Source organism: Homo sapiens, chromosome 4, assembly GCF_000001405.40.
Source record: "Homo sapiens chromosome 4, GRCh38.p14 Primary Assembly".
Classification (NCBI taxonomy): Eukaryota; Metazoa; Chordata; class Mammalia; order Primates; family Hominidae; genus Homo; species Homo sapiens.
Window position 1 is genome coordinate 147,334,649 of NC_000004.12, and position 11,152 is coordinate 147,345,800.

At 39.3% G+C, this 11,152-nt stretch overlaps 1 non-coding gene across 1 annotated transcript; it reads right to left on the reverse strand.

Moving 5' to 3' along the window:
* Window positions 1-9,980: 9,980 nt before the first annotated feature.
* MIR548G (microRNA 548g) lies at window positions 9,981-10,069 on the reverse strand. Its single transcript, NR_031662.1, has one exon. It is a non-coding gene; the product is annotated as a microRNA 548g (primary transcript).
* Window positions 10,070-11,152: the final 1,083 nt, after the last annotated feature.

An 11,152-nucleotide genomic window follows, 5' to 3' on the forward strand; every position in this document is an offset into this window, starting at 1 on the left:
GAGCTAGTATAAAATTAATATTTCCTGTTCCCTCCCAAGAACCCTGGAACCTTTGCAAACAGTTGTTAAACATCTATAATTCCTTCCCACATTCACTCAACATTTACCACCACTCCCAAGATAAGCAACCCCCACTTTAAGGTATTATAGTGTCAAACACTGCAATAAAGGAAAGAGTGACTTAGAGCAGCTGGTAAACATAGGCTTCTGATTCAAGAGAATACAGCAAAAAGAAGGGATGATTTTTGTTTTAGACAAGAATTCAGAGAGTTTCAAAATTCTATTACTACTTCAAAACCTCATTCTATTAGATGATATACAACTTAATTTATAACTTAGTTTCACTTTTCCTTCAGGCCAAACTATATGTAAAACAATAACAAGGCCCACTAAATTTTATTTTTTGTATTGTACATTCATTTTGTTGTGGAACTCTGGTTTGTTGGAGTCAACTGCAGCAATGTTTCATAATTTACTCTGGTAAATTTCTGCTGGTTTTTGCAAAGAGAAACTTGAAGAATTTTAGCAAAGATTGATGTGCTGCACAAAATACCTTCACAAATCAAATTCAGAATGCTGAGAGACAACATCAAAGGAAAAATTGTTTCTACCATCTTTCAGAAAGAAATCTTTGCAACCATGTCTAACCAAGGGTTTATATAATATAGCATTCTTAATGGGATTTGGTTTTGTCAGGAAATACATTAAATTGAGTAACACTCAAAGGAGAGACAAAAAAACCCACAAGACTGTCTTTGGATTTCAGTCTTAAAGTCATTCTTTACCAAATAGCGGTAACAACCCCATTAACCCAGTTCACATCTCCACACTGTTAGTTGATTCACTTGATTTCATACACTGTTGGTATACATTTTAAGTAAAAGCTCTTTTAAGTTTTAAAGATCTCTATCCCCATAGTCAATGATGCAAAGGTTCAGGCCCCAGACACTAAATTGTAGTGCTTGGAAAACAATAAAAAGACAAATTTTACAGTGTTTCCCAATTAATCAAAGGAATACTTGATCTAGGATTGAACCATAGCCCCTGTAGTCATAGATGACTTCCTTAGATAATATAATCTACTAACCAGTAAGAATTTACCATGTTGTAATTTTGTGATTATTTTTGCTTTTATTTGTTATATGGGTTTTTAGAAATTAGGAATCTACTACAGGCACCATTAAAAAAAACATCGTTGTCTCACCCAATGACTCTAGAAATCCTTGAGAAAGTATGGTGGGGAGTTCATCACCAAATGGATTTTAATACCTGGGCGCATGTTTCTCAAACCGGTGTGCATTGGAATCACAGTGGTTGAGTTGAAGCACCTACAATCTAGTGAGTTCAACAGGTGATATAGATGCCCATCCAAGTTTTAGAACCACTGATCTAGATTGCACATCCAAAATCCCTTCCATTTTGTCCCAGAAATTAATTTTTACTGTATCTTGCCTTATCAAATCTGATTGAAATGTAGTTTTTCCTTAATTTCTAAGACTGCCAATAGCCTTTGTCAATTCTGTATATAATTATTCTCTGGTCTTATTAATAACAACTCACTATGCCTGGCTAAGTCTCCCCTGATCCTACGGAGAGAAAAGAAGAGAGAGGTCAGTTCCACCAAAGGGAACACCTGTGGCTGAGTGAGAAGTGAGTTCAATTAGCCTAGTTCAGTGCATCCCAATTTCCTTAGAGAAAAAGAACATTTCCAGCCTTGAAGTAAACTGCTATAACAGCTGAATCTAGATTAAATACGTGACACTGCTTCCCCTTTTTGAAGCTCCTAGTTGTTCAGAAAACACCATGAGCAATCTGTTCACAATTTCCTGTAGCCAGACCAACACTAATTCCCAATGATGTCAGTCACTTCTTCTTAATGAGATTTTGCACAGCCCTTTGCCATCGTACAATTTGTTCTTAAAGAGAACATGCTAAGATATAGTTTGTTCTTGCTGCATTTCATTGACCTGGAGAAGTGCCTGGAACATAGTAGGCACTCAATAATAAATATTTGTTGAATGAATGAATGTTTTCTTGCACTTCATGTGATCTTTATAATTATTAAGACATAATAAACTTAGTTAACAGTTACTCTGTAAAATATCAAGAGTTATCTTTCTAATTATTGACCAGAGTTGACTTCCATTTGCAAACACATTCATCAATGAAACTTGTTTAAGGACAGCATTAATTCAGAGGTTTCTTGCCTATACCATAATACAGTTCTGATGCAATTCCAGATTTTCAGTATTAGTTTATAAATTTAGACTATTTGATGCCAGTTAATACAGGGTGGCCCTAAACTTCATCTTAATGTTTTTTGATGCATGAGCCCAGTTATAAAAGACTTTCTATCCTTAAATATACAAGCAGAATCCATGGTATAGCCATTTGAATAATTTTGCTGTGTCTAAAATGGCTAGTAGAGTTTCTAGGATGGGCACCCCTTGTTTTCTATTAACCCATCAATAGAGTTCTCTTTCTACTTATTTGGAAGCTAAAAGTACTTTCTATTTAAGTAGAACTTAGATTATAAGAATTGAAACTACAAATTTTACCTAACCATGCAGAGACAGACTCTATCCAATAGAGATGATTTCTAAAAGTTGTCAATCAAATTTTATAAACTGATTATAACAATACTATACTTAATACTGGGAAGTTCATCAGTTGATGTGATTCTATAATATTGCCTTTTTACCTTTTTGCCTTTGCCTTTGCTTTTGTCTTTGTCTTTTTGTAGGCTGCTGAAAAATATAAATCCTTTCACTAACAACAAATTTATTGTTTATCTTATTAAAATGATGTCTTGTTTTAGCAGCTCAGGGAGACCCTTTTGAATATTGTTCATATTTTAAAGGGATACATTAAGGCATTTAAGAACACAGAAAATTATCAGCCAGGTGAAACTTTGCTCAGATAAATTTTCTTTCATTCAATAAATATTTATTAAAATGTTCTCTAAGCCAAGCATTAAGCAACAGAAAACAAGATAGTCACCATGCCTGCACTCATAAAGTTTACACTCAGGACTGAAACATAAACATTAAGAAAATGCAAGTGCAACAGGTATCAAGAAAAGAGGCATTCAATTTGATAGAGGAATAAAGTGATATTTGCAAGGCCATCCTGGGGATGTGGTATTTAGGTTGAGACCTGAACAACGAGTGACAATTTGCCAAGCACAGTGAGAAGAAACAGCATGCTCTTGATCCAAAGGCAAGAGACTGTCATGTGAAAAGAATCGGACCAAGCCCAGGAAGATCAAGGTACAGAAGAGATGGGCAGCAATTTGGAAGAGGAGGATGGAGATATGAGCAGGTCTCAGCTTGGAGAAGCCCCTACCACCATGGAAATAAGATGTTTGAGATGTTATCCATAGAACGGTGGAAAACCATTGAAAGGGGTAAATCCAGTATCGTATTAGTGGTTTCGTGAACTTACAGTAAGCATGCAGCACTTGGTCAATTCTTAGAGCCACCTGTCTCAGCCTAAGTTAACACCCAAGAAGCAGAACCAGAGACATGCAGGGCTGGCATGCAGGTAGTTTGTTTTAGCCTGTAAACCCAAAGAACAAGAGAAGGGGCTGGGGAAGAGTGAGACAGAAAAGGAGGGAAAGTCGATTCGGAGGGGCACTATTGAGCAGATCGCTGTGAGCAGCAGGTCTCCAGCCTATTAGGGACACTCCAAGGAGCCACATAGAAGGTGCCTTAGAATCATCCAGGCAAGGGATGGAAAAGGGGAGTATTTATCCACCACCTCCCATTCCCAGTGGGTCCTGGTGGCAACTCCACTGCAAGTCCATGTTGGCACATGCATCCAAATGGTGAAAACGATCCATGCTGATATACCCCAAGACAGCAATAGAGAAGCCCCAGGATTGAGCAAGAGACTCCTGGTACAGCTGAAGTGAGTGTTATCAGACTAATACTACCCTGAAGCTGGATGCAAGAGCAAGGCTGAAATTAAGAGCAAGGCTGAAATTAAGATGTGAGGAAGGAGAAAGGACATATTGACATGACACCCCATTTACCATTCACTCTGGAGTAAATCTGGAATTATTCAGCCACTAATGCAAAACCCAGGTAAAGCATTTGGAGTGCAGGTGCTGGAGAGAAGAGCTGGTCCTCTGGTGTCAAGTGCCATCCACAATTAATGCTTTTGTCTTTCTGAATAACACTTATCATGTGCTGGATTCTGTGCAAAGCCCTTACATTGCCACATTTAATCCTCCTAACAATCACAGGAGGGAGTAAAATCATTATAATTATTTTGGTTATCTATTGCTGCATGGCAAATTATCCCAAACTCAACAGCTCAAAACAACAAGAAACATTTATTATTTCATCTCCTTCCTGTAGGTCAGGAATTTGGGAGGTACATAATTGGGAGGTTCTAGCTCAAGGTATCTTATGCAGTTGCAATCAAGACATCAGCCAGAGTTGCAGACATCTGAATGCATCGCTGGGGCTGGAGGTTGTGCTTCCAAGATGGCTCATTAACATGGTGCTGGTTGCTGGCAGGAAACCTTAGTACCTCCCGTATGGGCCATTCCTCATGCTGCTTGTCTATCCTTACTGCTTACCAGTGGCTGCTGGTTTCTCCCACACTGAGCAATTGAAGAGAAAGGGCAAGGCAAAAGCCACATGGTTTGGATTATCTAACCTCATATATCACACACCCTCGTTTTTACAATAACCCATGGGTTACGTAAGTCAGGCCTAATGAATATGAGAGGAGACTACACACAGGCCTATAGACCAGGAGGTAGGATCAAAGGCCATCTTGGAAGCTGGCCACCACAATCATCATTTAACAATTGAGGTTAGTGGGGCCCAGGGAAGCAAAGCAAGTTCCCCAAGCTTATACAGTAAGATGTAGACTTAAGATTTGAACCTGGGGCCAGGCACGTTGCCTCACGCCCATAATCCCAACACTTTGGGAGACCGAGGTGGGCAGATCACAAGGTCAAGAGATCGAGCCTATCGTGGCCAACATGGTGAAACCCCATCTCTACTAAAAATACAAAAATTAGCTGGGTGTGGTGGCGTGCACCTGTAGTCCCAGCTACTCAGGAGGCTGAGGCAGGAGAACCGCTTGAACCCAGGAGGCAGAGGTTGCAGTGAGCCGAGATCGCGCCACTGCACTCCAGCCAGGTGACAGAGTGAGACTCCGTCTCAAAAAAAAAAAGATTTGAACCTGGCTCTCTCTAAGTTCTATGCTTTATTACTGTACTATACTGTCTCTAAATAACCTAATCCTGAAAACCAAAGATATTTATCCACACAGGGAAACATTTAATCCAAAATAATATCAAAAAGAAAAAAAAACAGTGGAGCCTACCAGTAGACTTAATTTGACACAAATTTCTGACTCTAGCTTTCTTTGTCCACAAACTAAGTTGTCAGATTTATAAACACAGGCATACTTGGGCCAGAATTAATCAAATGTTACACGGTATAGTGCTTTTTCTAAAGGCACAATCTGAGAAAGTTTAATTTAGTAAAATAAACTTACTTCAAAGCAGCCCAGATGGTTTCAATACTACCTTTTAAAAGGGGAGGAGGGAAATTTAGGGTATGATAATGAGACATGAAAAACCTTCTGTCCTCTCTATGGGATGGAAGCAAGGACTGCTTTCTTCTACTTCTTATTTAGAAGACATGAGAACCAAAGGCCTGATGACTCAGTGTTGCTGTAAGTCATCCAGGATGCTGAACTCAACTGCTTTGCGAGGAGCCTGGGGTTACAGTTCTCAGTAGCACAGGGCTGTGCAATTAAAGCAAAATGTGAAAACCCAAAAACAAAGAAAGGTATGTTAAAGGATATTCTCCACCTGTACCCATGTAGTATTACCAGAGGGCCCTAATATAATCATTTAATGAACCCTAAGTATTGGAGTAGAAACATGAAAAAAAAAAGGAACGTTTGTCATGCTTTAGTCAATATCAAGTACTTTGGCATTTGAGTCACATGCAGAAAGTCGAGAGACAATATTCTCAGTGTAGAGGGAGAAGCTATGTTCTCAAGACCTCCTATTAGTCACACCAAGTCCTAGCTTTGATCATTCCACAGCATCTGCAGGCCCACCTGCTAATGTGGGAAGGAAGCCATTCAATGGCTATAAACCATTTGAGATCTCACTAATGAGGATGTCTGTCTGACTCTCCCAGGTTCTGTCCTCCTCTTCGACTCCTCCAGAACAATACCCCCATTGTTCAATGTAAATAACAATTGTAGAGCTTCAAGTACTAGTTCCTTCCAACTACAGTCATTCTGAAAGCTTTTGCTCTCTGCATTTCTTTCTCTTTTATGAAAGTTAACAACAAACAGGCAGATCACGGGCTGCAATCCACAGAGTAAATTAAAGCCATTCCATACTCAACAGTTTCCAGACATTTTTCATATCTGCAGACCAGGCCTACAAACTCAATTATTTTCATTCATTTCAACTTCTGTTCCAAAGCCCTGAGAATGGAATAAATTAGGCGGCTGATCTTTAAAGCACTATTTCTTTAGAGAATGCAATTCACAGGATAGACACCATTTCCTATGGAAAAACAGCTTCAGAAGTAGGGTAAGAGATACGCAACTGTGTTCAATGAGATTTCAACGGAGACAGGAATGTTGAACAAAAAGAAGCAGAGGCTCCAACTCAATAAAGCACCTTGAACATTCCAGGGTCTTTGATCTTAAAAAATGAAGCTTTGGAATACCACTGTAACAGTCTTCTGGAATATTTCCAGTTTTGTTGTTTCCTGAGAGAAAGGAATCTCAAAAACATGTGGACATGCAGAAATCTCATCATGTTTTTTGATTTCATCTCCCGGTCCCATACCTTTTCAGATGCACTCATGCTAACCCTCTGAGATACATTGCTACAAAGGATGTATACATTTGTGTGGAACAGAAAATCTCCAAATCAATTTGAAGACAAGTGCCAAAACAAAAATGAGTGTTTAACCTGGGCTCTCTGAGTCAGGGGGCATTGAATAGTGAGATACAAGAAAGGTTGAAAAAGAAAAAGAAAAAAATGCCAGAGCTTCTGATGAATGGTGGAGAAAGTGCTTCAAGCAATTCTCAAAATTAAAAATCAACTTTGGTTCCCACCTAAAGCCAGAGATATCAATACAACCCTTTCCACAATACCAGAAATAAGTGGATATATTATGACACGATGAAGCTTAAGCTCTGCCCTCCCAGGACAACTCTGTTCCTCATTTTATATTTGTAGTTTTCAGTTATTTTTCTTATATAATCCTCCCTCAATTGTTTAAGATTTAGGGTCTTTAAAATATGTATTCATTTCTTCACCACACATTTGCAGAAGCATTCCTGCATTGCTTTTTTGTTTTGTTTTGTTTTTTAACAAATATAACCAAACACAAAGAGCAACAAAACACTTCAAGCTGGTTACCCAGTGACTATGCTTGAAATCCTTCAAAGGCTTCCTATGATACTTTGAATAAAATCCAGACTCCTTACTGTATTCTGCAGAACCCTCCATGATCCAGCAATTTCTTCCTCAATCCCAAATCATTCTGTTCTCCCTCTAACCCATATTCTGATCACACCAGCCTCCTTGCAGCACCTCTGCATTGCCAATCTCTTTCCTACCTCAAATCCTTTGGTCGTTGTTTCTGCTATTGCACCCTTCTTCCCCTTTTCACATTGCTGGCTCCATCCTCTTTGGGGGCTTCTGGCCCTACCTGATTACTCTAAATAAATAATCATGCTCTCTATCTCCTCACTCCCACTCGGGGTTCTCTATTATACCCCCATGTTCTACTTTTTTTTTTTCTTAGTAACTGTCCATCTCCACTGCAATCCTGCAAGCTCCATCAAGGCGGCAGTGGTGTTTGTTTTGTTCATCACTACAGAGGATCCAGCTCCTAGTCAGTGCCTGATGTGTAGTGCCCGCTCCATCAAACTGTGTGCAGGCCGGGCGCGGTGGCTCACGCCTGTAATCCCAGCACTTTGGGAGGCCGAGGCAGGGGGATCACAAGGTCAGGAGATCGAGACCATCCTAACTAACACGGTGAAACCCCGTCTCTACTTAAAAAAAACTAGAAAAATTAGCCGGGCGTGGTGGCGGGCGCCTGTAGTCCCAGCTACTAGAGACGCTGAGGCAGGAGAATGGCGTGAACCCGAGGGGTGGAGCTTGCGGTGAGCCGAATCGCGCCACTGCACTCCAACCTGGGCGACAGAGTGAGACTCCGTCTCAAAAAAAAAGAAAACAAACAAACAAACAAAAAACTGTGCAAAGAATGGTGAATGAGTCCTGCAATCAATTAATTTCCCAGTAATTGAACATAACTCTTTAAAGCACAGAAACTAATAAGAACATCAACAATAACAATTTCGGGGCCGGGCGCGGTGGCTCACGCCTGTAGTCCCAGCACTTTGGGAGGCCGAGGCGGGCGGATCACGAGGTCAGGAGATCGAGACCATCCCGGCTAAAACGGTGAAACCCCGTCTCTACTAAAAATACAAAAAATTAGCCGGGCGTAGTGGCGGGCGCCTGTGGTCCCAGCTACTTGGGAGGCTGAGGCAGGAGAATGGCGTGAACCCGGGAGGCGGAGCTTGCAGTGAGCCGAGATGGTGCCACTGCACTCCAGCCTGGGCGACAGAGCGAGACTCCGTCTCAAAAAAAAAAAAAAAAAAAAAAAAACAATTTCGGTGGAAATCTTCCCATGTCTTTTAAAATTGACAACTTGAATGTAATATAACATTTTCCTGGCAATTCTTTGCTTATTACAGGTTGGTGACTGTGCCCTGGGTGGTAGAGTTTGCCAGATAAGCCATCCCTGAATCAGTGAAGTGTGATTGAACAATTAAATGACTAAAATGGTATAGCCTCCATACCCATTTGCATTCTTTGCACTTCTAGTCTAAAAAGGGCAAGACAAATGCAATTGTGTTGTGGAGAAATATTTGGATTCTTTTGGAGAGAAAAGGAAAATCAAAGAAAAATATTATGCATGGTATGAATTGGGAGTTTATAATTCAGAAATTTACTAAAAATAATGACAAGAACCGAAAGTGAAAAAAGTAGCTTTATTTTTAGATATCTCTCACATGTGAGAGAATAACCTGATATTGGCCAATAACCAAATTAATTATTTGTTTCTCCATGAAGACTCCTTTCTGAATTAGAAGGAGAAAGAGGTGAATTGAAGAGCAGATTGAAAATGGAGATATAAAATCAATGACTCTTTTTTAAGGATGAGTCATCATGGCTTTTCTAGATGATTGATTGTGAAGTGGAAGAAATAGAACGAATTAAACTATAAGCATTTGAGCCCAGTAGTTCTCTGGGGCACTCTTCTCCACTATTTGAACTATCTTTATTTCATAAGCTAAGACTAAAAACATTGCCAAAGTGAACTGGTTCTCCAGAGTTTCTAGAGTGCATTATTATCATTCTCTAAAATGAAAATACATCTGATACTTCAAAAGACACATTGTTATGTTTTTTAATGTTTTGCTTATATTTCATCTCATTTTGAAAATGATTGAAGTAGCTTATAATAAATACACATAAACAATAAGCAAGTAAATAATTGCAATTGGAAACTAATTCTAAGTGAAAGACAATTATATCTAAGCTAATATCAAGAATGGACAATGACATTACATTTAACTCTGAGCTTTCTAGATGCCAAAATAAGGGCCAGTGATGAATTATGCATTGTTTATCTGAACAAAAGAATTATTTATTTAAGAGTTACACATCTTCTAAGACATATTTATGCATTTATTGCATGGATCCTTTTACAAATGCATTTAGACAACATAATAGACAACCACAAACAACTCCTGTCCAAATGTTTATAGGTTCACTAATGCATACCTACATATTAGTAAATAATTTATTTATGCACAAGTATGCTATGTGTGCATACATGTATATTTCTGAGTTACAGCATGTAATCTATATACACACATGTACATAACCATACATACAGATATACATATATGAAGTATTATGTTGGTACAAAAGTAATTACAGTTTTGCCATAGAACGTAATGCAAAAACTGCAATTACTTTTGCACTAATCTAATAACTCAGAGAAAGTGTTTCTCTAAAGGGGTAATGAAGTTGTGTAGATTGCTGGCAATGATGGCCCCAATTCTTTTCATCCCTGCGTGCTAACACTTGGTAATGTGATTTTGTCACTCCCTTGTCAAGTGGTAGAGTATAGTTCTCTTCCCCTTGCATCTGAGCTGTCTCTGTGGCCAGCTTTGGCCAATAGAAATGACTTTGTATGGCTTCCTAGCCTGGGCTTCAAGAGGCCTTGCAGCTTCTGCTCTCACACTCTAGTCCAGGCTAGCCCTCTTATGGATAAAAGCACATGCTAGCCCTCTTGAGGATAACAACCACCCTCAGAGAGAAGCCCAGCTGATGGTCAGCACCACCTGCCAGACAGTTGAAGAAAGCTTCTTTAGGCCATCTCACTCCAGTCGAGATACCAGATAACTACAGCTGCATGAGTGATCCCAGGAGAAGCCAGCAGAAGAACTGCCCAGCTGCAAACAACTCAAACTGGTAACCACCAGAATCATAAGCTAAATAAATTATTGTTTTAAGCCATTGAGCTTTAGGGTGGTTTTTATATAGCAACTGTTGATATAAGATTCAAGGTATAAAATTTCCTTATTTAATAACAGAAAAAAAGTGGAGTAATCTAGGGAACTATGGTTGCTCACATCACATTTCCCTAAGTTCTTTAAGGAGTTCTGAGAAAAGGGAGATGAAGAATTTACTTAGCTACATGTTTTTACCCCTTGGGTAGAATAAGTGTAAACTTACTTTTTTTTACAATACTTGCTCTTCTGACTTTTAAAAAGATAGATTTTAGTTAAAGGAAAGAATTCCTAGCAACAGCCCACATATTTTCTATTTCCTATTGCAGTCAATATGTTCCTAACTTTTTGGCCTGAATTTTCCAGGATAGTCCTGAGTTGTCATCATCAATCTATGCATTATTAGGCCTAATCTTCTGATTTGGAGTTGGAACAATATAGAAGCTATGGTTTGGCTGTGTCCCCACTCAAATCTCATCTTGAATTCCCACGTGTTGTGGAAGGGACCCAGTAGGAGGTCATTGAATCATGGGGGCAGGTCTTTCCTGTGCTGTTCTCAAGACAG